Here is a 21,306-nt window from a genome sequence, read left to right as displayed (position 1 = left end):
CCCCTTACCCCACCCCGTGATGGCATGCCATAGACTAGGAGAGACTTAGTTCTCTCCTCCCTTTTCTCTCCTGGCTCCTGTGTCTTTTAGATATTGGCTACTGCTGGTGGCAGACCCCAGACAAAGGCAAATGAATTGTTGACCCAGCTCAGAGAATTTATGACATTACATTTTAAAGCGAGTCTGGGTAGAAACAATGGGCAACATCATCTTTCTTGGCATTACTTTTTATTGAATATAGACTTAGAACAATTTTTAAATAATTTGAATATAATGCTTACAATATACAGTTCTTTAATCTTACATATATTTCTTCAAAGCACAAAACTAGAAATTAAAATCAAAAGGCTATACACGTTTATATTGCCATAAATCTAGAACTATTTTATAAAAATAGAACTCAAATATTAACTTTATATATTTTAGCAACTTAGCAGTATTGTAAGGTGGCCACATACATTTTATTATGCATCACTGTTCCAAATGACTGTCTTGTTTTCCATCTCTTTGGGGACACCTGGAGCAGGCTCCTTTCCCAGGGTCCCCGCAGAGATGCCCTTGGCCATGGCTCAGTGTTGCCTTTGCATAAAGACTCAGTGCACCCGTGTATTCTTGGAGGGGGAAGACCAGCTTCCAGCCTCTTCCTCAGAGAGAGGAAGTGTTCCCTCCTGCCAAGCGTTTACTGTTTGCGCTTCTCATAGCCCTCACAGTGCATAGTTTGATATCTGAATGTACAGAGTGAGTTACCTTTCCATGTGCTCGGAGAATAGCAAATATGAGTTTGAGTCTGTCATATCAGTGTAAATAGTTTAAAAGAAAACCACCCAAACAATGCCCACTGGGGTAATGTCATCCCAAAGGTAGGCCCCATGAAGCCTCCCTGCCCCTACTTGACCCCATGATAGCATGCCATAGACTAGGAGAGACTTAGTTCTTTCCTCCCTTTTCTCTCCTGGCCCCTGTGTCTTTTAGACATTAGCTACTGCTGCTGGCAGACTCCAGACAAAGGCAAATGAATTGTTGACCCAGCAAGGTCCTTGACACACATGCTCTCCAATCCTCATAGTCTTGCAAGTGGGGACACTCTTGTTCTCATTTGACAGTGGAAGGAACTGCGTCTCTGGGCATGCATGTCATTTGGCCGAGGTTGGTGGGGCTGCCTGGCCCCATAGCTGGAGCTCTATGTCTGCGCAGAAATCCATGGAGGGAAAGGAACCGGAGGAGAACTCAGATCTGCACTGTGGTCACTTGGAGAGAACAGACAAGTAGCTTTGGGCCAACTTACAGCAGGTGGGCTGCCTTTCCCCAGAAAACCCAGGACCCTTGTGCTGCAACTTCCTAAGCAGAGTAGGAAGGTGGCCGTGGGAGGGAAGGAGCATAAATCTCAGGCCAATGACTTAAGTTTGTATGTTCAAAGGGTAGTGCCCAAATCTCCCATGACATCTAATAGAGATCCTCCATCTAAAACCAGGGGTTCAAGGAACTCACTTCTTGAGGCTGCTTGTGTTTTCAAAGAGCTGAGCAAAGGTCAAATGCCCACCCCACCTCTGCCAGCCTGTGACAGTCCAGGTCGAAGTGTGGAGAGCCTTCACAGTGGCACAAAGAAGGGAGACCTACAGGATTGCTGGGCTAGAGCAGAGTGCTCAGCAGGAAGCAGCAGGATTGGAGGGATGTGGAGCAGAACACACGGGCTCTATGCTGTAGATTTCTCTGGTTGCTTTCTTACTCCCTCCCTCTGCCCTTTAGACTTCCCATAAAAATGTGCTCTAATAGGAAGTGCCTCTTGTGTCTCTCCTATGATCACAGTCTCTGGAGACATCTCAACTCTGCCTCTGCTGACCTGCCTGTCCTGCCCATGCTGGAGCTGGAGCTGGGGCTGGAGCTGGAGCTGGGGCTGGAGCTGGAGCTGGGGCTGGGGCTGGGGCTGACTCTGGAGGAGGCTGTGCCCTCCTCCCAGCCCTGCTCCCTGCCAGCTGTCCCCTAAGTCCCTGAGGCCAGAAGAGAGCCCTGCTCTAGGCTCTACCACATGGGTTTTTGTCAGAGTCCCTGGATAGCCTGCTCCAAATAAAGGAGCCCAGCTGCCTAAGGGTCCTGCTTGAATCACTAAGAATTTCTGAAATTAATGTCAGGGTGGTTTTCTTAAAAATCTCTGTCTTAAAACAAAACAGATAATGGAAAAACCCAAAGTAACCATCTCTCTTCACCTACTGGAGCATGTAGGAGGGGAGGAGAGGGGAAAAGATGCAGAAAAAATGCAAATGGCAGGACCCCGGGAAGGGGCCAGGTCCTCTGCAAACCCACCGGCACCAGGCACCATCTGCTTGGGGCTGTGCAGTTTACTCATCTTGGACTGGCCCTGATGCCGCCTGCTAAGCAGAGAGTGGCAGCAACTCCAGGGCAGTCACAGATAAATTTTTTTTTCCTTTCAGAATAGCTGGACACAATTTTCTGAGCTCAACAGAAGGCTGCCCCTGGGCACGAAAGCAGAAATGTGTTTGTGGGCCCAAGTCACTATATTTTAAATGGACTTGGGCTCTGTGGTGTGTGTGGGAGGAGTGGGTGCTTGTAGGACTGTACGGCTCAGTGGAGACACTGGGAATGCCACGATAAGAATGCTCTGAATCTCAAAACACAGCCTCCTCTCCCCCAAAAAAGAAAAGAGGTAATGACCTGGAGTTAGCCTCTTCCTTCCTAACTCATTAGGTACGTTGCATGTAATAGAGTGACTCATCCTTTCCTTGGGCAGAAGCATCACCTGGACATACTAGGTCCTGCTAGGGAAGGAGACATGAACACTAAGCTTCCAAGGACCACAGAAGGAGTCCTTAGTGTGGTTCCCCAGTGCATCCAGGCTGCCTCTGAGCCAGGCAGGTCCCATTTCCCAGTGTGCAGGCCCAAAGCCACCTTGAAAATGATGATTCCCATGCATGAAGAGGGGACCCTTTCCTCCTAACACTCCGGCTCTGTGTGATGTCTCTGTATGGTCTGTGAGTTGGACCCTGAGGACAGGGAGCTGTGGAAAGCTGGGGTAAGGGACGGGAGTGGGGATCTGCAGGGTCTGGCTGTTCTAGAGGCTGGGTTTGGGAGGTGAAACCTAGTGGCAGGAGTCAAGGTTGGTGTCCCTGGCTGGGCCTCGTGGCTTTTTCCTTTGTTGCCAATGGCTTGCTCTCAGTAGGCGGCAGCAGACTGCAGAGGTCTCTCATGTCAATGAGGCTTTCTTCCACAGCTTTTGCAAACTTGCTAGAAGAAGTCTCTTTGCAGCTGTGAAAGCTAGAGATGCAGAAAAGGATGGTCTCTGGCTGGGGGTTGTAGCAGGCACCATACCCATTTGGGACCACAGGACCATAGCAGCAGAACATCTCCGTGGTTGTGGGCACCTGGAGGAGAGGACAGGTCAGGAGCTGCTTGTTCTGGAATGCAGCCCGCCAGCCTCGACTGGGCTTGGCTTCTCTGTTTTCCACCTGGGGGTTTGACTGAATTAACCAAATCAAGTGATTGCTTTAGCATGGATGGACACAGCCAGAGTCATAAAAACAGACCCATCTAACTGCATGATATCAGAGGATGAGGGGCCCCAAGCCCACTCCCTGGTGTGCAATCTGCTCTACTTGTGGAGTTGGAAGCTCCCGGAGTGACCTGGTGCTAGGTCTTGGGCTGAGTCTCCACTTCACCTGGGGGCCATTTGAGGCACGGAGGCAATCAGGTAATTTACTAAATGGTCCCCTGGTGGCACCCCATAGTTAGATGCTTTCCGGAGGGAGGAATTTATGAACTGGAGGAAATCTGGCCCATCCTCTGTGTCGATTTCCCCCAGATCCTTAATTACTGTCAGTATTGCCTGGCTTCTCTGATTTCTCCCTGCAGCCTGGCCATGCACAATTACCCAGAGTTGGGTGTTTCAAAGATTGCCATCAGTTTTACTTATGCACCTAGTATGTTTTGAATCAGAGTGCTGAGATTTTGTAATCCAGATCACAAACCAAGAAAGTATGTTTCTGAAAGCATTCAAGCCATAAATGCTGCTTTCCAGTTGGAAAACAACAAAACTCCCACACCCCAGATTAATTTTATTAGCTGGTCCTTGGGAAAAAAAATAGAAAGGATTCTTGGGCAGGTGCAGGGCCTGGTTTGTTTTAAACCTACAGGTTTCTGGTGCTGTGTGCTGAGGCCTTTGGAAGTGACACTGGCTGTTTTAATGGGGCAGAACAAACCATTAGTCTTGCTAATAGAGTCACCACATTGTCAGATAAATTTGCCGTGCAATAGCCGAAGGCCATAAAGCCATTCCAAAGCACTTTTTGCCCATGGATGATTTCCTGAGAAATTTATGGTGCTGTGTTCTGTCCTCGTTTATTCACGTCTGCATGCTCACTGCCATAATGACAACATCCCATTACTGAGTGGGCTTCTGTCCTCAAACACAGCTTATCAACTCCAGTACTGCCCATCCAGCCTTTCGCAGATGAGGTGGCATTTTAGTAAATTGATGGCTGTGGGGCATTTCCCCTCCTAAACCACGACCTCTCTCTAATGGATTGCATTCTGTCTTTGTGGCAGTGGCTCTCATACAGGACACGCTGAGGCACTGGTTAGATGTTGGGCTGGCCACGAATGTTCTGCTGTTGGTTGCGTGGCCCTTTATAATAATATCTGTGACCTATTTAGAGGGCCCTGTCCATGCCAGGCCCTGGGCTGGGCTTTCTCCCTACATAATTGTATCTGGCCAAGCCAAGACTTCACTGCAGACCTGCTGGGCATCAGAGCCCGTGGAAACCGCGGCAATAGATTGAAAGGTAGTAAGGTGTAATGGTTAGGGCACCAGAATGGGTATGTTCCTGTACTGTCTCCACCTCGGCTAAGTAGGGTCTGCTGATTACTCCCATTTAGGAGATGGGAAACCTTCTTCTTCCTTTTTTCTTTTTTTGAGACAGGGTCTCACTCTGTCACCTGGGCTGGAATGCAGTGGTGCAATCAGGGCTCACTGCAATCTCCACCTCCCCAGCTCAAGCAATCCTCTTATTTCAGCCTCTTTAGTAGCTGGGACTTCAGGCACGCACCACCATGCCCAGCTAATTTTTAAAAATAGGGAGATGAGGTCTCCCCATGTTGCCCAGGCTGGTCTCAAACTCCTGGGCTGGAGCAATCCTCCTGCCTCAGCCTCCCAAGGTGTTGGGATTATAGTTGTAAGCCACCAAGCCTGGTCAGTAAACCATCTTCTAATGAACATTCAGATCATTTTGCTGAAGATCACATAGTTCAGAAAAAGCAGAGGCAGGATTTGCCTGATTCCAGCTAGTGGGCTTGTTGTCACTGCTCTTTAGAAAGCTTACTGACTACACTACTCTTGGGCGATAGCTGCACGGGGCCGTACCTGGCTAGTGGAGAGGACAAACCGGTTGCTCATCAGGTAGGTTTCATCCATGAACATCTCGGGCAGCTCCTTGCACATGGCCCGGGCCAGCTCCCGCAGTGCCAGCAGGTGGTTGTCAATGGCCATCCCTGTTATGGCCTGTGTAGTTGGGGACAAAGAACAGGAGATGAGAAGTGGGCCTCCTGCACCTCCTTGTTCCCTGCTCTGTAGTCTACAGGACTGCTGGTGACTCCAGCAGCCACGGCTCATGCTTACCCAGTGCCTGCTGCCAACAATGTGTATGAGTGGCTGCTCAGGACTGACCGCTCTACCATGCGGCCTCTGCTCCCGGGCCCTTGCGCATTTCCACATGCACTGAATGAGTCCAGAGCAGGTTGGGTTCTAGCTTGAGACATCTGAGCTAAAGGTTAGTGAGTCTGAGCATCCCCTACACAACTATATCCGCCTGGTTCTCTAAGTGGAAAGAATGGGGCTGGCCTGGTCTTCTCAACTACCAACTGCTTGGGCAGGGAGAGAGTTTGGGAAGAAGGCTGTGTGCAGAGCTTGGAGACTACCGGATCCTGTGCAAGCATTGTGAAGGGCGTCCCAGGCTGTCCTGAACAGACTCCCACCACAACCAGCGCTGTCTCCTCCAGTAGGAGCCCAGGGAACAAGAGATAGAGGATAGAGGGTGTGAGATCTGTTACTGAATCTTGGCTGCTATTTCATGGCTCAGGATCAATTCATTTAAACTGGATCCATAATCTAAGAAATCGTTTTGAGACAGGAACTAGACCCCTTAGCAGGCTCAACTGACATTTTCAAGGGGAAAGAGCCTGTTGAATAATAAAAGTTCTTTTTCTTTTTATCACAAGATATTTAAACTTTTATCAAAGGATAGAAATATAGAGAAAGCTCCAGGATGTCAATGTAGGAGGGGTTCACGGAGGGTGAGGTGTCTGGAAGTGGGGCCGGGTACTCATTCTACAGCTCCCCCACTTGAGGCTGGGTATGTAGTATGCACACTGGTTTTTTGGACTGCATGTTTATTTGGAGCAATTCTAGGGGCTGATGGAGACTCAGGGGGCCACCCTGACCCATAGTAATCACTTTTGGGTCAACATCAGGGTAACTGTGAGTAACTCTTGGGGTTTCACAGTTCTGTAGGATGGCCAGTTAGCTGTCAAAGCCCTGCACAGGAGGAAACTTCCCATTCACAATGAACTTGGTATAGGTTTACAAGGCACGTTTAGGGATTTGACAGCTGTTCTCTTTCAGTTGCGAATGAATGCATAAAGATGACTCAGGCTCTGGTCTCTCTGAACGCACCTAATTAGAGGCTGAAAAGACAAACATTACACAACCACAGCTCACTTTAGACGTGCCCTACCTGTTAGGACCGAAGGAAAGAACGGTGAGCCCATCTATGAAGGAGACTACTCTTTTAATTTCTCTGGTTTCCTCTATTTAATTCCTGATTTGTGTTGGTCCATAGAAGCAGCTTCCCTGTGAACAGTCAACTCACCCCTCTTTTCACCACCTTGGAATAACTGTAGCAAGAGAGACTGAGTTCACAGGTTGTTTGGCTCAGAGCCATGAGTAATAACGAGTAAAATGACTTATAATTCAGTCTTTCATTCATTCATTTAGGGAATCTTAATTGAGTGCCTACTATATGCCTGGTGCCGCGGGTCCTGTAGCCACAACAGAGAACAAGACAGTTGTAGACTCAGTCCTTGTGGAGCTTATGGTGTAGTGGGGGACAGATTTCATCAACCATGCAAAAAAACATGATCATAAACTCAAGTGTGAGGAAGGGAAAACATAGAAGTGGGAGAGTAAGTGATGGGGGCTCTGGACCACCTTGCCATTGGAACTTTATTTCTCCACGACCACTGGCAAATATGCTTACCAGTTATTAGGTTTCCTTGCTTCTTTCCCCCTTTCCTTACCCTCCATGTCCAACCACACACCAGATTCACATCCTAAGCATCTTTGTATCTCTCCTTTCCCCAAACCCATCTCTTTGATTTGGTTGTTCTCATCAACTTAAAATTATTAACACAACCCTATGGCAATGCTTTGGAGGGTGTTTTCCTAGACATTTTAATAAATTTAAAGTTGTTATTGTCATATATTTATATCGTTTAGAAATCCAAATAAACCAAAAGCCTAGGTCATTTTGCCAGCACGGATTCCTACCCCACAAAGGTAATTCCTTACAGTCTTTTAGCTATTTCTTTTGGGTATATACTTTCTTTCCTCCAAACATATGCTTAGGTTACCACTACTGAATTTCTCAGTTTTACCTATAATCTTCTTGTTATAGACAGTGAAATTTCAGCTCTTTTTTTTTTTTTCTGAGATGGAGTCTCACTCTGTCGTCTAGGCTGGAGTGCAGTGGCGCGATCTCAGCTCACTGCAACCTCTGCCTCCTGGGTTCATGCCATTCTCCTGCCTCAGCTTTCTGAGTAGCTGGGACTACGGGCACCCCGCCACCACACCTGGCTAATTGTTTTGTATTTTTAATAGAGATGGGGTTTCACCGTGTCAGCCAGGATGGTCTCGATCTCCTGACCTTGTGATCCACCTGCCTCAGCCTCCCAAAGTGCTGGGATTACAGGCGTGAGCCACTGCACCCGGCCAATTTCAGCTCTTTTATGACCCTGCTCCCCCAGCACACTTCTACTCTCCCATCTTCCCAATAAGATTATGTTTTAACTCTTTGTAGTTTGATCAAGATACAGCATAATCATGTATACAGAACGATATACATAAGTATAATTAAGCAAGTATTCACAGCTGGGTCATGTAGTGTACTATGATTAGATTTCCTTTCTTATTGAATTTTTTGTTTTCCCTAGAATTGACAATGTATAAATTACTTTTTTACTTCCTTAGCTTTCCATGTATCTATTTTATTTATTTATTTATTTACTTTTGAGATGGAGTTTTGCTCTTTCACCCAGGCTGGAGTGAAGTGGCGTGATCTCGGCTGACTGCAACTTCCACCCCCTGGGTTCATGTGATTCTCCTGCCTCAGCCTCCTTAGTAGCTGGGATTACAGGTATGTGCCACCACACCTGGCTATTTTTTGTATTTTTAGTAGAGATGGGGTTTTGCCATGTTGGCCAGGCTGGTCTTGAATTCCTGACCTCAGGTGATCCACCCACCTCGGCCTCCCAAGGTGCTAGGATTACAGGCATGAGCCACTGTGCCAGGCCCCATGTATCTGTTTCTAACTGATTCCTAAACATGCAGCAAGAATTTCATTTGTCCTCTCACTTCTTGCTTCTTTATGGACTGATTGCTCTCTAGGTGTACTCAACAACTGTTGATTTGTGATCTCCTTTTACTGTCATCCTGCGGGCACCCCTCTATCTTTTTCTTGTGTTAAATCTTCTGTTTTTTTTCAGCCTATGATTTCCTCTTTTATGTTTTATTTTCTCACTTTAGAAGTCTACATTCTCCAGTAGCTTTATGAGAAATGGTGCTTAATAAGTAAAATGTTTGAGACTTTCTCTGTCTAAAAATATCTTTGATGCATCTTCAAACTTGATGACAGTTTAGCTGGGTATGAAATGTGTGTTGAAGGTCACTTTCTCTCAGAATTTGAAGACACTACTCTTTTTATCTTCCACCTTCCAATGATGCTGTTCAGAAATTAATTACATCTTTTTTATGGATCTTTGTATTTGATTTTTTTATCCTCTGATAGATTTTAGAATCTTCTCTTCATGTTTAGTGTTGTGAAATTTCCTTTGCTATGAGTATTTTCCATCTATTAAGCAAGTTATTTGGAATATTATTCTCCTGGACTAAGCCTCTTTTCTCTCTTATATTTCATCTCTTTATTGTGTTGATATTTTGGGGATATTATCTCAGATTATCTTCTAATTCTTCCACTGAATTTTTTTCTACCATATTTTCCCCCAGAGTTATTTTTATTTCCTGAAAAATGTTTTTAGTTTCCTATCATATATAGATGTAATAACTCCTTTTATTTTTCAAAGAATCTCAATGATCACTTTTAAACTGTTCAATTGTTTCTTGTACTTTTTTCATTTCAAGTTTTTGTTTGTTTGTTTGTTTTTTGAGAAGGAGTCTTGCTGTGTCGCCCAGGCTGGAGTGCAGTGGTGCAATCTCAGCTCACCGCAACTTCCGACTCCCGGGTTCAAGCGATTCTCCTGCCTCAGCCTCCCTAGTAGCTGGGATTACAGGCATGTGCCACCACACTTGGATAATTTTGTTGGTGGTGGTGGTGTTTTGGTTTGTTTTGTTTTTTGAGATGGAGTTTCACTCTTGTTGCCCAGACTGAAGTACAATGACGTGATCTTGGCTCACTGCAACCTCCACCTCCCGGGTTCAAGCTATTCTCCTGCCTCAGCCTTCCCGAGTAGCTGGGATTGCAGGCATGTGCAACCACGCCTGGCTAATTTTTTGTATTTTTAGTAGAAAAGTGGTTTCTCCATGTTGGTCAGGCTGGACTTGAACTCCCAACCTCAGGTGATCCGCCTGCCTCAGCCTCCCAAAGTGCTGGGATTACAGGTGTGAGCCACCACACCTGGCCTTTTTTGTATTTTTAGTAGAGACAGGGTTTCACCATGTTGGCCAGGCTGGTCTCGATCTCCTGACCTCAGGTGATCTGCCTGCCTTGGCCTCCCAAATTGCTGGGATTACAGGCATAAGCCACTGTGCCTGGTCCATTTTAAGTTTTTTTAAAAAGATTTTTTTAATTAGCAAAAATGTTTGTTGGTGTTGGTTTTACTCTTTTATGTCTCCTCAATGTCGGAGGATCTATGGCTATTTGTATTTAAGAATAAAGCACTGAAAATATGATTAGAAGATTTATGTATGATAATGTATTTGTTAACCTGGGGGCTTCACTGTCCTTACAGTAGCTCTTCTTCAATATTAAAATGGTTCTTAACTAGCAGCTCTGCCTCTTGGCAAACCACTACCTCATCTGCTGACTAGGCTCTTTCACTGTGGGCCCCAACCATCAGTTTCTGTGAGTGTTCTCTCTTGGCTTGGTCAATTTTACCACAGAGAAATCTTCTAATCTCCTGCTTGGTGAGGGATGGTTACAGAGCTAGTTCCCAGTGTGTATGGAGCTGAGTGGCTGAAGGGCTTAATAGTAAGTAAGAAGAAAGTAGTAAGACTTTAATTAACCAATTAATTTCCGTACAGTATTCCCTCCCTCAGCCATGCCTAGTGTCCTCAAGTCTGGAGTCCTTCTGCTTCAGCCTCTCCAGAGAATGAACTTCTAGCCCACCACTGGGGAGGGGGGCTAGTAGCCTGGCTGCCTGGGGTGGTAGAGAGGAACTGAGGGTCTAACTGCTTTTTATATAGATCATCAACTGCTATGGTTTGGATGTTTGGGTCCTGTCCAAACTTCATGTGTTGAAACTTAATGGTATGATAGTATTAGAAGGTGGGACCTTCAGGAGGTGATTAGGTCATAAACGGGTTTAAGGCTCTTATACAAGAGGCTGTACACAGTGTTCAGCCCTCGGCCTTTCCACCTTCCACTATGTGAGGACACAGCACTTGTCCCCTCAGGAGAATGCAGCAACATGGCACCATCTTGGAAGCACAGAGCAGGCTTTGCCAGACACTGAACCTTCTGGCACCTTGATCTTGGACGTCCGACCTCCAGAACTTTAAAAAATAATTATCTGTTCTTCATAAATTACCCAGTCTCCCAAGCTTCTCTCACTGTTTGCTGAGTCAGTCGCCATGTGTTCTACTTTCCAGCTCTAACATGTTGCTGCCACTCCTTTCCTGTTCTCTTTGCCCTGGTGTATTTACGGCTTTCAAAAATCCCTTGCTGTTGTTTTTGGAGGGTTTCAGAGAGAGTGACAGTAACCCTGTGTGCAGTCCACCATGCGCGAAGAGTTTCTTCCACCAAGAGGAGGAGTTTACGACTTCCCCTTCACCCTGCCCCTGTCCTACTCCAGTCCAAACACCAGCTCTTCCTCCATATTAGAAAGGTTCTTAACCAGCAACTCTGCCTCTCAGCAAACATTCCCACCCCCAATTCCAACCAGTCCTTCTTCCACCCAGTCACCATAACACACTTTGTAACAGGGAAATCCAACATCTCCCCTGCCCCACTGTCCTTTGCAAGCTGTGCTCTGCTTTTCCTCGAATGGGTCTTATTCTCTTAAGGCTCTCAGTCTTTGCACGTGGTGCCCTTCTTGAGCCATCTTTCCCTTCTGTGTCTGCCTGACAAGCCTCTCTTCATCCTTTGTGGCTCACAGGAAGCACCACTTTCCCTGGGAATTCTTCCTGGCTTTCCCAAGCAGAGGAAACAGCTGGCTCCTCCATGTCCCCTGCTACTTTCTGAGGGCTCTTTTCACATGGGATTGGTGTTCACGTTGAAGGGCCTCTTCTCCCAACTACATGGTAACCTCCCTAAGGACAGGGCTTATGGACTTCATATTTTGTTTCCTAGCACCCAGCACCTTGCCTGGCATAAAGCATGAAGACCAAAAAAAAAAAAAAAAAAAAAAAAAAACCCACTGAATACATGAGTGGGTGCTATGTTTTCCCCAAATAGAACAAACACTGAAGTATTTAGATGAATTAGGGACCTAGCAACTGAATTAGAGAGAAGTCTATGTTGGCTAGTTCTAAAATCCAGAAATGCATTGTTTCTGTTTTCAAGTATCTATAGTGAAATTTGTTCAGCTCCTTCTCATAGATTATATGATCCTTCAAAGACTGTATTAGAATGACTTGCAATGCAGGTATTGATGAGCCGCCCAAGTCACTGCTTATTCTCTATTTTGCTATTGCAAACAATAGCTTTGCAGTGCCAGAAAATGAATTATTTCTCTAAGCTAGAGAAACATTTCCCTTGCAAGTTTGATTTCCCTATTAATTTTCAGCAAAGACTTTTTATTCACAGGTAGTATAAATGAATATACAGAGAATGAGAGGCAAAAGCAGCCCTAGGTGGGAACAGATACTGTTTTGCCTGAGATTGGGGAAGGTGTGTGACCCCCATCGCTTGCCAGGCTTGAGCCCCTTCCCCTCACAGTTGACTCCTCTTGTATAAACTGCAAGATGCTATACATATTAGGTGCTATTATTGTCAGTATGGTTGTTTCAAAGGGTTTGAAAAGTGGTAACTTTTGTATTCTTATAAAATCCATGTCAAAAACAGGAATGCTATGTTACTTAGGTTCTAAAACGAAGAAACAAGAGACCGAGTGGTGAAGTGGCCTTGCCAAGTCCCCGAGTAACAGGTGGCTGGGCCCTCACACAGGGTCTTATGCCGTGGTGCCCATTCTGGCAGGCCCCAGGCACAGCTCAAGTGCAGTGTTGTGAGGTGGTGCGACGTCACTCACCATGACTGTGTATGCAGTCTGGGCACGGATGGCATCCTTCAGGAGCAGAAGCTTCTCAGAAGCCTGTCAACAGAACACAGAGGCAGCGCGGGGTTTAAAAGGCTGCTTGGAGCCAAAGCATCTGGTGGTCAGAGGGCCGAGCCCACTGCAACCCAGGGCAACCACAGCAGCCTCACTGGTTTCCTGTGGCCGTGGGGTGGGGCGGGACTTACTGGCACAGCAGCCTTGTGGTCAGTCACGGCTCTCACAAAAGCCAGTGCCTCTGGAGTGGCCGATCTGATGTTGTCCACGCGTCCCTCCTGGAATCGGCGGATGGACGCGCTCTCGTAGGTGGGCACCAGTCTTCGATGGAGCCTGCGTGGGATGAAGGATGAATGGCACATGGTAATTTATTCTTGGGAAATCATAAACTCGGAAAGAAAAATTGCCTCAGCAAGCTTTATTTTCACAGCCCTGACTTGACTTGGCAGAATATTTCATTTTAATATTAATAGAATTCTAGAGGGAATTCCCAAAGATGACGCTGGGGAGTCTCCCACATGGAGAGCCACGTTTGCTTATATACACCCGGGGATGCTGCACTGACATAAAATAAAGAAGTGACGGGTAGCGCTTCAAAAAAAATTCCCAACCTGGTGGGAAACCTAGAGTTTTCTGTGAGACCTGAGTGTTTGATGAACAGCACAGAATGGAATAATTGTGTAATTAATCATTCCCACCTATGCGGGAATCCTGTTTTATTTAAACTGATTCAAGCATGACCTCCAGAGGGAGGCAGGGAGGAGCCTTAGTGGTGGTAAGCGTAAACGGCTGTCCAGGCCCTCCCTTCCAGGGGCAGCTGGGCTTCTGACAGACCCATGGGCACCATGGCTGTGCCTCTCTTCCCTGATGACTGTGTCCTGAGCAGCAGTGGCTGCTTCCCCACCAGCCAGGGGACTCCTCTGTCCTTATGCATGGTAACTGGGCCAGCGTCCCTGGGCTTGCACCCCTGGTGGGCACACTCCCTTTCTCACCACTTGGTAAAGTCCTTGATGTTGGGAGTGGGGGAGGAAAAAAGACACAGAGCTTGGAGAGAAGCAGTGACAGCCCAATGTCACCCAGCAAGTCGTGGCCCCACATCTCAGCCCTCTCAGGATGTCTCTCCCTCACTGGCTGGGCTCCTGGAGGTTTGGGAAGGCCATGTCCAAGTCTGCAGGGTGTGTGACACTGTCTTGCTTGGTGAGCAAGGGAATGACCTTCCTGTACACTCTGACATATTTCCCCAAGACTCTGGCAAGGAGCTCCTGTCCTGTCTCTATGGTCCCTGGAGGCAAACACCATCACTGGCCAGTCATTGACCAACCCGAATTCAGGCAGCCTCTAGGTTTCTGCTGAATCTGGGGGCAGATAAAAACAATTGTGATTATTACAGCTTAGAGCCTGAAGAATGCTGCTCATGGGAAGCAGATCCTCTTTGGCCATTCGATGAACCCAGGAGCCTCTGGCTATGTCCTTTCCTGGCCTTGTCCAGTGACAGCACAGCCCACAGGCAGGAGGAGGAGGGGTGCATTGTGCAGGCTGCACTGTCCCCCTCAGCTCTGGATCTGAAACTTGGAAGTGCTCATAGTAGAGAGGTCCCGAGCAGCTGGTCTTAGTGGCATCCCCAGTCGAGGCTCTGGCAGGATGCTGACCTCACGGCCTATCTCGGCCCCATGCCCTCTGAGTATCAGAAGGCACTGACCACCATTCCAAATGCCAGGCAGGTCCTGCAGCATCTCAGTACTGGTGAGGTTTCTGCCTCTTCAAGTCTCAGCAGCAAGCCCAGTCCTCATGTGGGATGACATCGGCCTTCCCCAAGGTGTCCGGACAGGACAGACACTCAAAGTGGCTGCACTCACTTCCTTGAGAATTACAGCCCCGCAGGGGACACTGGGCTGCTGTGTCTACACGGGTGCTGCCTGTTCATTAGTGAGAATGCCTTGCCCTAGCTTTACTGCAGGGTAACTTTATGCCCTTCATGGAAGTTGCAAACTGAAAGCAGGTTGGAGGGCAGAGCTTTACCGTTCATAGCAGGCAGTTGATGAGCCGCTGCTTCTGCAGCCCTGGAACTGTCAGGAGCTGGCCCCATCTCCAGGAAGATCTATTTCACATTTTGGTTTCTTCGCCTCCTGTAAGGCTAATTGACCTCTCCCCTGCCTTCACTCCTGATTTCCCTACTATTCACCCCTTCCCCGACACACAGCTACCTGGGCCACCAGGTCTAAATCCCAGACCTGGCCGGACCACTTCTGGCTAAACCTCCCGTCTGTGATTCAGTCTCTGGCACCTACTCTGTGCCAGGTATGGTGTGGGTGCTAGGGACTCAGAGGCATGCGAGATGCCCAGAATGTCAGGGTCGCGGGGATAGTCTAGAAAACAAAGCCAGCAAACCTGCAAACAAGATAATTCACAGAAGTAACAACTGCCTGAAAGAAAAAGAAAATTCAATGTGGTATGACAGAGAATGGGTGGCAAGGGGGCCACAGGGGGCTGCTTTAGATAAGGGGGTGGGGAAAGGCTTCGAGGGATGGAAACTGGGCTGGAAAGGGCTGGTGCGTGTGGAGGGTGGTGACCCTGAGCCCACACGCACACCTTCCGTGGGTGGCAGAGGCACAGCCAGGGCAAAGGTCAGGAGGCAGGAGAGAGCTGGGGGTGTGGGAGGGCCTCAGGTGGGGCCAGTCCACAGGGGGCACTTCTAAGCCTGTCTTTTGTTCTAAGCCTGGTGTGAAGGCGCTGGGAAGTTTCATGTGGAAAGTAATCTAGTCTGATTTGCATATTTCAAAGTTCACTCTTCATGAAGACAGGATTACCAGGGGCAACACTGGAAGCAGTGACCCTAGGGAAGTGCTGCCGTTGGCTAAGCATGAGCTGATGGTGGCCTGGGAGGGGCCAATGGCAGTGGAGGTGGAGGGCAGGTGAGAGACATTTGGAGGAGAACGGATATGGCAGTGTGCGGGGATACGAGAAAGGGCAGAATCAAGGATGAGTCCAAAATCTTTGTCTTGATCAGCTGGGGGAGCTGCTGGTTCCATTTCCTTAGCAAGATTGGGAAGACTGGGGAGGAACAGGTTGCAGCAATAGGGCTTGGGTGAGATGGGGGAAGTTGGGATGGAGAGCAGCCCCCCAACCCCAACCATGGTCCTCATCCCCTCCTGGCTCTTCTCAGCTCTACACTCCAGTCCTTTGGAGCTCCGTGCCCCTGTGCCATCACCCAGGCAGTTCCCTGATGGCACATCCTTCTTGTTCTGAGGTTGGATTTGTAACCCAGTTCAGTCTGCTCCTCCTTCATGCAGCCTCAGTCCCTCTCCAGTCTTCCAGGCCCACAGAAGGCTGTCCCTCCCTCCAGGATGCTTCTAGACCCTAGATCCTACAGCACTGTGTCCGTCAGCCCTCCAGGGTACAGACTCACTCCACCTTCACTCACCTGTAGAAGGCCAGCTGGAGGGCCACCTGGATGAAGGCATCAGGGCTGCATTTCTGCTTCTTAATGAATGTTTTCCCATAGTTGTCAAACTTATAGACAATGAAGTCAAGGTTCTTTACTATTCTGAGGAAGAAAAAGAAAAGATGTTTTTATTGCATGCAAAACAGTATGCATGCATCTGGGGTTTCCCCGGGCTTCTAGAGCCTGGTCTGTGTCCTAGCGTTCTGGAAGGTGCGGACGTAGTCCCTGCCCTTCAGGAGTGCACTGAGGTGTCAGAGACATGCCTTGACCTATGAAAGTGTCAGAAGACAAACCAGGCCAGGACTACTATGACCCAAGGTGAGCTCAGCTGAGTGGGGTGTCGGCCCTGCTCTGGAGAGTGGGTGGGGAGGTGGGCCTGGCTGTGTTAGTGAGTCAGGGATTAACTGTGACACAGGTGACATGCCCGGGATTTTGTAATTCACTGTCGGAGTAACAGGAACATTTTCCAAGTCTGCACTGAGACTCTGGAGCACTGGCTGACCCTCATATTGAACAATCTCCTCCTCCATCAGGAGTCTGGGGTCTGAGCTGACTGCCCACTGGAGCAGTGTCTGGCAAGGTCTATGTGCCTCCCCACTGGAGAGCGCATAGCCTGAGTGGGAACCCCGAGCCCACACGCACACCTTCTGTCGGGACTCCATGCTCCCTGCCTGCCTCTCCTTGAAGTATTCCTCCTGCTCACAGCAGCTCAGCTCTCGGTGGGGCCAGGTGCTAGGAACACAGGGGGACTTGGAGGAGACCCAGTTCCCATGAGTACTCGCTCCTTAGACCTACCTGTTGACAGACGTCTGGGACAGACTGAGCTCACTATCACCACAGCCACCTGGAAATCTCTCCCCCAAGCTGTGCCCACTCGGGCCTCACCCACTTGTATGGGCCCCTCAGGACCCCCAGGAAGAAGCCTCCTTCTTCCCCATCCATGGGCCTTTCCTGGCTCTCCTCAGCCTCTGGAGGGTGGAGCTGGGGGCCTTGGGGAATGTGGGGTCTGCTCAGGTCCCTGGAAGTGAGTGGACTCCTTTACCCACTGAGGACTCAGCAGCCCACCAGCTCACTGCCTTGGCCCCTGACTTAGCTCCTGAACAACCCTGCAAAGCTGAGATGTGAGCACCACTTTATAGAACACCTGAGGCCCCTCCATGCCCACTGAAGCCAGGCAACCTCTCCAGCAGCTCCCAGTGGATGGGTCCTTCCCGCTCTTCAGCTTCCCAGCCTGGCCACACTCTGTCCTGCTCACATGTGCCCTTCCCACAGCCTCCTCAGGGGCGTCCCCATACCCCCTGCACAGAACCCTCCAGTGGCAGGGCAGGCTCTAGGCCCATAACAGGACAGTGACACTCATCACAGTGTGGCCCAACTTCCTTTTTGTGGCCCCACTCTGGCCATTCTCTCACTTGCTGGTCTCCAAACCAGCCTTCATCATTATGAACTTGTACAAGCTTGAAGAAGCTGCCTTTCTGCCTCTTCCCCATCTGCTTGCACCATGAACTCCTATCCATCCTTCAAGGCCCGTCTCTACAAGGCCCTCCCTCACAGTCCTGACAGAGTTCAGCTTCTATATTTTTGTGGGTTCAGGTCAGCATGGCTGTTTCTGCTTTTGGCATTAATCTTACTGTATCACATGTTTTGGCCTGGGAGTCTACTTATTCCACTCAAATATGGAGTGCAGGTCCCATGGTACTTAACTTTCTGTGTTCTCAGAGCCTTACCACGGGCCGGGTGCACACCAGAGCTCTGCACATGTTTGATGAATGAATGAGCAAACCAGTGAATGAATGCATTCGTGCTTGCTTACTGAATGGGAGAATCAACAGCTACAGTGCAGACGTGGTTGCCAGGATGTGGCTGCCACCACTGCTTGCTGCTGCCCCAGGCCCTCCTGCCTGGGTCCCGTTAGGGCCTGAACGGCCCCCTCCCCTTGGGGAAAAAGGCCCCTTTGTCAAGTTGCACTGTACATTCAAGCAAATTTAAATAGCTTGAATTCAAATGACCTATTCAAACCAGTTGTTTATTACTCCCCCTAAAGCAGGGGATGATTTCCCGGCCTTGACTCTGCTCAGTCAGGTGAAACTGAAAAAAAAAAAAAAAAAAAAAAAAAAAATAGCCCTGCGTTTGCATTTTAGAGAAATGATGGATACTTCAGCAAGGTTATTTCCCCAGAGTTGTATCTCTCCTTTAATTTGACTACATGAGGGATGGGGACGAGGTGGAGCCCAAGGAGAGGCAGAGGAGCTGGGGTCTTTGGAAACTTCCAGGGAGCCTTGGGAGCTAGTAGGCAAGGGCGGGGTGGTCCCTAGGGGACCCCTCAAAGGAGACTTCGGTTATCCTTACCGTTGAAGTTTTTCTGCCGAGGAGGCTAAGTGGCCTTGAATTTCCGGGGAGCATTTCCACCGCAGCCTCCGGGGGGCGGGGAGCTCGCTGACGGAGTCTGCTCGGATCAGCTTCCTGCTGCTCTGCGTCCTGCGGGCACAGAGGCAACCTCCTGAGGCTCTGCGGCCAGACAGCTGTGGGAGGCATCTCTTCTTTGCTCTGTGCAATCATCTTAGCTGTCAGTGTTTGCGGCCATGGAGTTTCAGGGGGTACGAGCTGCCCCTGAACCACCGTGCAGATGAATAAACTGAGGCTCAGAGAGGCCACCAAAATCATTAAGTGGCAGGGCCAGGGCTCCATCCAGTTCCGCCTGACTCCAAAACCCATTATTTCTTTTCATTGTTTTCCTATTAGACCATGTTACACCCTTACAGAAGACTTGGAGAGAAATTTAAGAGCAAGCTGTGTTGTTCTCTTCTACAAGGTTTGTGCCTACTAGGCTTGGTTTAGGTTTCAGTAACCCTGAGTTTCATGGAAGAAATTGAAGACTTGGATGCAGGGAGAAGATTCTAGGAGAGAATGGGTAAAATTGGGAATAGAGGAAGGAATACCATGTGTTTAGGGCACAGAGGAACCCTGCTGGGGAGCTAAGGAGGGACCCAGCCTTGGGATTTGGAAGCAGTGAGACTCAGAGAACTCCCCCTGTGCTGGGGCAGCCGTGGGCCTGGCCCTGACTCAGGATAAGCAATAGGTATCGATGTAGGCTTCCCCTCTCTCAAGGCAGAGGTTCCTGAGAATTCCTTGCCATGCTTCTCCCTGACTGCCGTAAATCTGCTGCCTCCTATCCATGGCCCGTGAAGCACATGATGTCGCATACAAAGCTGGGTTTCAAATTCATCGTGTGTGTGTGTGTGTGTGTGTGTGTGTGTGTATAGTACACATTTTTTTCAAATTCATCTTTTGTTAAGACGCTTTCCAGACTGACACAGCCCCCAGCGACCACCCACATTTTTTTGGGCCCAGCATGGCAGCCCTGGGATCCAGACTCACACGTGCTTGAGCAGATGCTCAGTGCACTGCACCAGGACGATGCCATCGAATGGGGAGTGTTCGCACACCACACCGCAGGTGCCGTCTCGGCCCACCACAAACTGCAACAGGAAAGAGGGAGTGGGCGATCATGGGAGAGTCAGCATTGCAAGGCAGCCCCTTGGCCCCAGGTTAGGCCCCTGGCTTCTCAGGGCACCTCTTCTCCAGGGACACCAGAGCACATTATTTCCTGAAGAGAACACTGCATGTGATTGCAGTGGCCTGAGAATATGAGAATCCAAGACTACTCTGCACTCACGACCTCTTTCCCGTAAAAGCTGTGGGCAGTGAAGGTGGAGCCCCAAGTTCCCGGACTGAGCAGTCCAGGGATTTCTGAGGAGTTCATCCTCAGGACGAGTCTGCCCAGCTGCCCTTGGGGCCTGGGTGAGGCCCTTCAGCCCTGTTTCCTGTCATAGCTCACATCGGGGTCTCCTCCCAATCTCTTGCCTTGTGTGCCAGAGGCTGGATCTTTACTCCCATTCTACAAAGAAACTCACTTCCCACAGAGCTTCTCCCCAAACTCACCCTTTGCAGGCCCTCCCCTCCCGCCCCCAGTGTCCCCTGCCTTGCTATCCTGAGACCAGTTCTCCATCATCTTGAATTCAGGTCCATGAAGCCCTGCTGGCTTCTCTGGTTCGCCTGATAATCTGCCCTGCTGATGAAAAGAACCTGGAGGTCAGCATAGACTAACCCATGAGAGGTGGTGGAGAGGGCTGCACCCACCCCCCACATTAGTACTTATCTGTGCCTGTCACTAAAAGGAAGGAAGGAAGGAAGGAAGGAAGGAAGGAAGGAAGGAAGGAAGGAAGGAAGGAAGGAAGGAAGGAAAGCGGTGTCTTTTGAAAACTGCTACCAAGGCTGAGTTCCAGATTCTGTGCATGTATTATATCGGTTCACCCCCACAGCTCCATGAAAGATGATAAGCCATTAGCACCACTGTAGAGGCTAAAACAGCTGGCCCAGCAGCTGGAGAGCGCATCAGAAATAACAGAATCAATATGCAAACCAATAAAAAGGAAAACCTGCAGAATGTAGGGACAGAGAGAAAGGAAAACGAGGTGTTGTCTAGATATGCTTATCAATGTGAGCTTTGCTAACCCAAAGTAGAGAGATGTTTTGTTTTTGCCTGCTGTTTTATACTACATGGCATATCATATAAAAGTGTAGTGACTTTAAAATAAACAAGACTAGGTTCAGGATTGGCATGTTGGGGGAATAAAAGGAGGATGGCAGAATGGGAATGAATGGTTTGACCTTGACTTCATCCCGTCTGCATGGGTATTTTTCTCTAGGTCAAAGTAAATTTCTTGCTTCTAGGCTGATGTCATGTAAATGAACATATATGAATTATTTTATCTCATCTTACAGTCTTTCTTCCATGGAGATGCTGGGCTGTTCTACTTCTCAGGGATTGAGGGAGGTATGTTGAAATCGCCAGGCCACGGGGGTGGACATCCAAAAAGCTGACAGCTCTGGGCATCAGAAATTATTATTTCAGCATGCATTAAGGATTTGTTCAGTGGGGCTGTTATACTCTCCTACTCCTGGCACACCCCCACCTCACAGGTGTGATGGGTGATGGGAAATGGGCCCCAGGTCTGGCCCAGACCTTCCTGGCACAGGCTGCAGGAAGGTTAGGGAGTTTGAGTTGGGTTCGGCCACTGGCTCCTGAGAAGAGTTCTGGCTGGTCCAGAGATTGACATCAACAGCACATCTCAGAC

General features: G+C 48.8%; 1 protein-coding gene across 7 annotated transcripts in view, besides 3 other annotated features; it reads right to left on the bottom strand.

Annotated features, from left to right (window-relative positions):
• Window positions 212-21,306, bottom strand: part of CHAT (choline O-acetyltransferase) — a 58,848-nt gene continuing 37,753 nt past the window's right edge. For all 7 annotated transcript variants that reach the window (NM_020984.4, NM_020985.4, NM_020986.4 and 4 more), the window contains 7 exons: window positions 19,547-19,647; window positions 18,518-18,646; window positions 16,148-16,270; window positions 12,918-13,059; window positions 12,706-12,768; window positions 5,372-5,509; window positions 212-3,377 (listed from right to left, as the gene is read on the bottom strand). In NM_020984.4, coding sequence (NP_066264.4) covers window positions 3,108-3,377; window positions 5,372-5,509; window positions 12,706-12,768; window positions 12,918-13,059; window positions 16,148-16,270; window positions 18,518-18,646; window positions 19,547-19,647 — 966 coding nt within the window. In that variant the 3' untranslated portion in view covers window positions 212-3,107. The remainder of the gene's footprint in view (window positions 3,378-5,371; window positions 5,510-12,705; window positions 12,769-12,917; window positions 13,060-16,147; window positions 16,271-18,517; window positions 18,647-19,546; window positions 19,648-21,306) is intronic.
• Window positions 16,717-17,567: an enhancer, noted in NCBI's record as "H3K4me1 hESC enhancer chr10:50858633-50859483 (GRCh37/hg19 assembly coordinates)". NCBI's record gives its function as "activates a minimal SCP1, AML or CMV promoter by ChIP-STARR-seq in primed H9 embryonic stem cells {active_cell/tissue: H9 hESC(primed)}" and the evidence as "EXISTENCE:reporter gene assay evidence [ECO:0000049][PMID:30033119]".
• Window positions 18,420-19,270: an enhancer, noted in NCBI's record as "H3K4me1 hESC enhancer chr10:50856930-50857780 (GRCh37/hg19 assembly coordinates)". NCBI's record gives its function as "activates a minimal SCP1, AML or CMV promoter by ChIP-STARR-seq in primed H9 embryonic stem cells {active_cell/tissue: H9 hESC(primed)}" and the evidence as "EXISTENCE:reporter gene assay evidence [ECO:0000049][PMID:30033119]".
• Window positions 19,271-20,122: an enhancer, noted in NCBI's record as "H3K4me1 hESC enhancer chr10:50856078-50856929 (GRCh37/hg19 assembly coordinates)". NCBI's record gives its function as "activates a minimal SCP1, AML or CMV promoter by ChIP-STARR-seq in naive H9 embryonic stem cells {active_cell/tissue: H9 hESC(naive)}" and the evidence as "EXISTENCE:reporter gene assay evidence [ECO:0000049][PMID:30033119]".

Source organism: Homo sapiens, chromosome 10, assembly GCF_000001405.40.
Source record: "Homo sapiens chromosome 10, GRCh38.p14 Primary Assembly".
NCBI lineage: Eukaryota > Metazoa > Chordata > Mammalia > Primates > Hominidae > Homo > Homo sapiens.
Note: the sequence above shows the minus strand (reverse complement) of the source record. Positions and strands in the feature narration are given on the sequence as shown.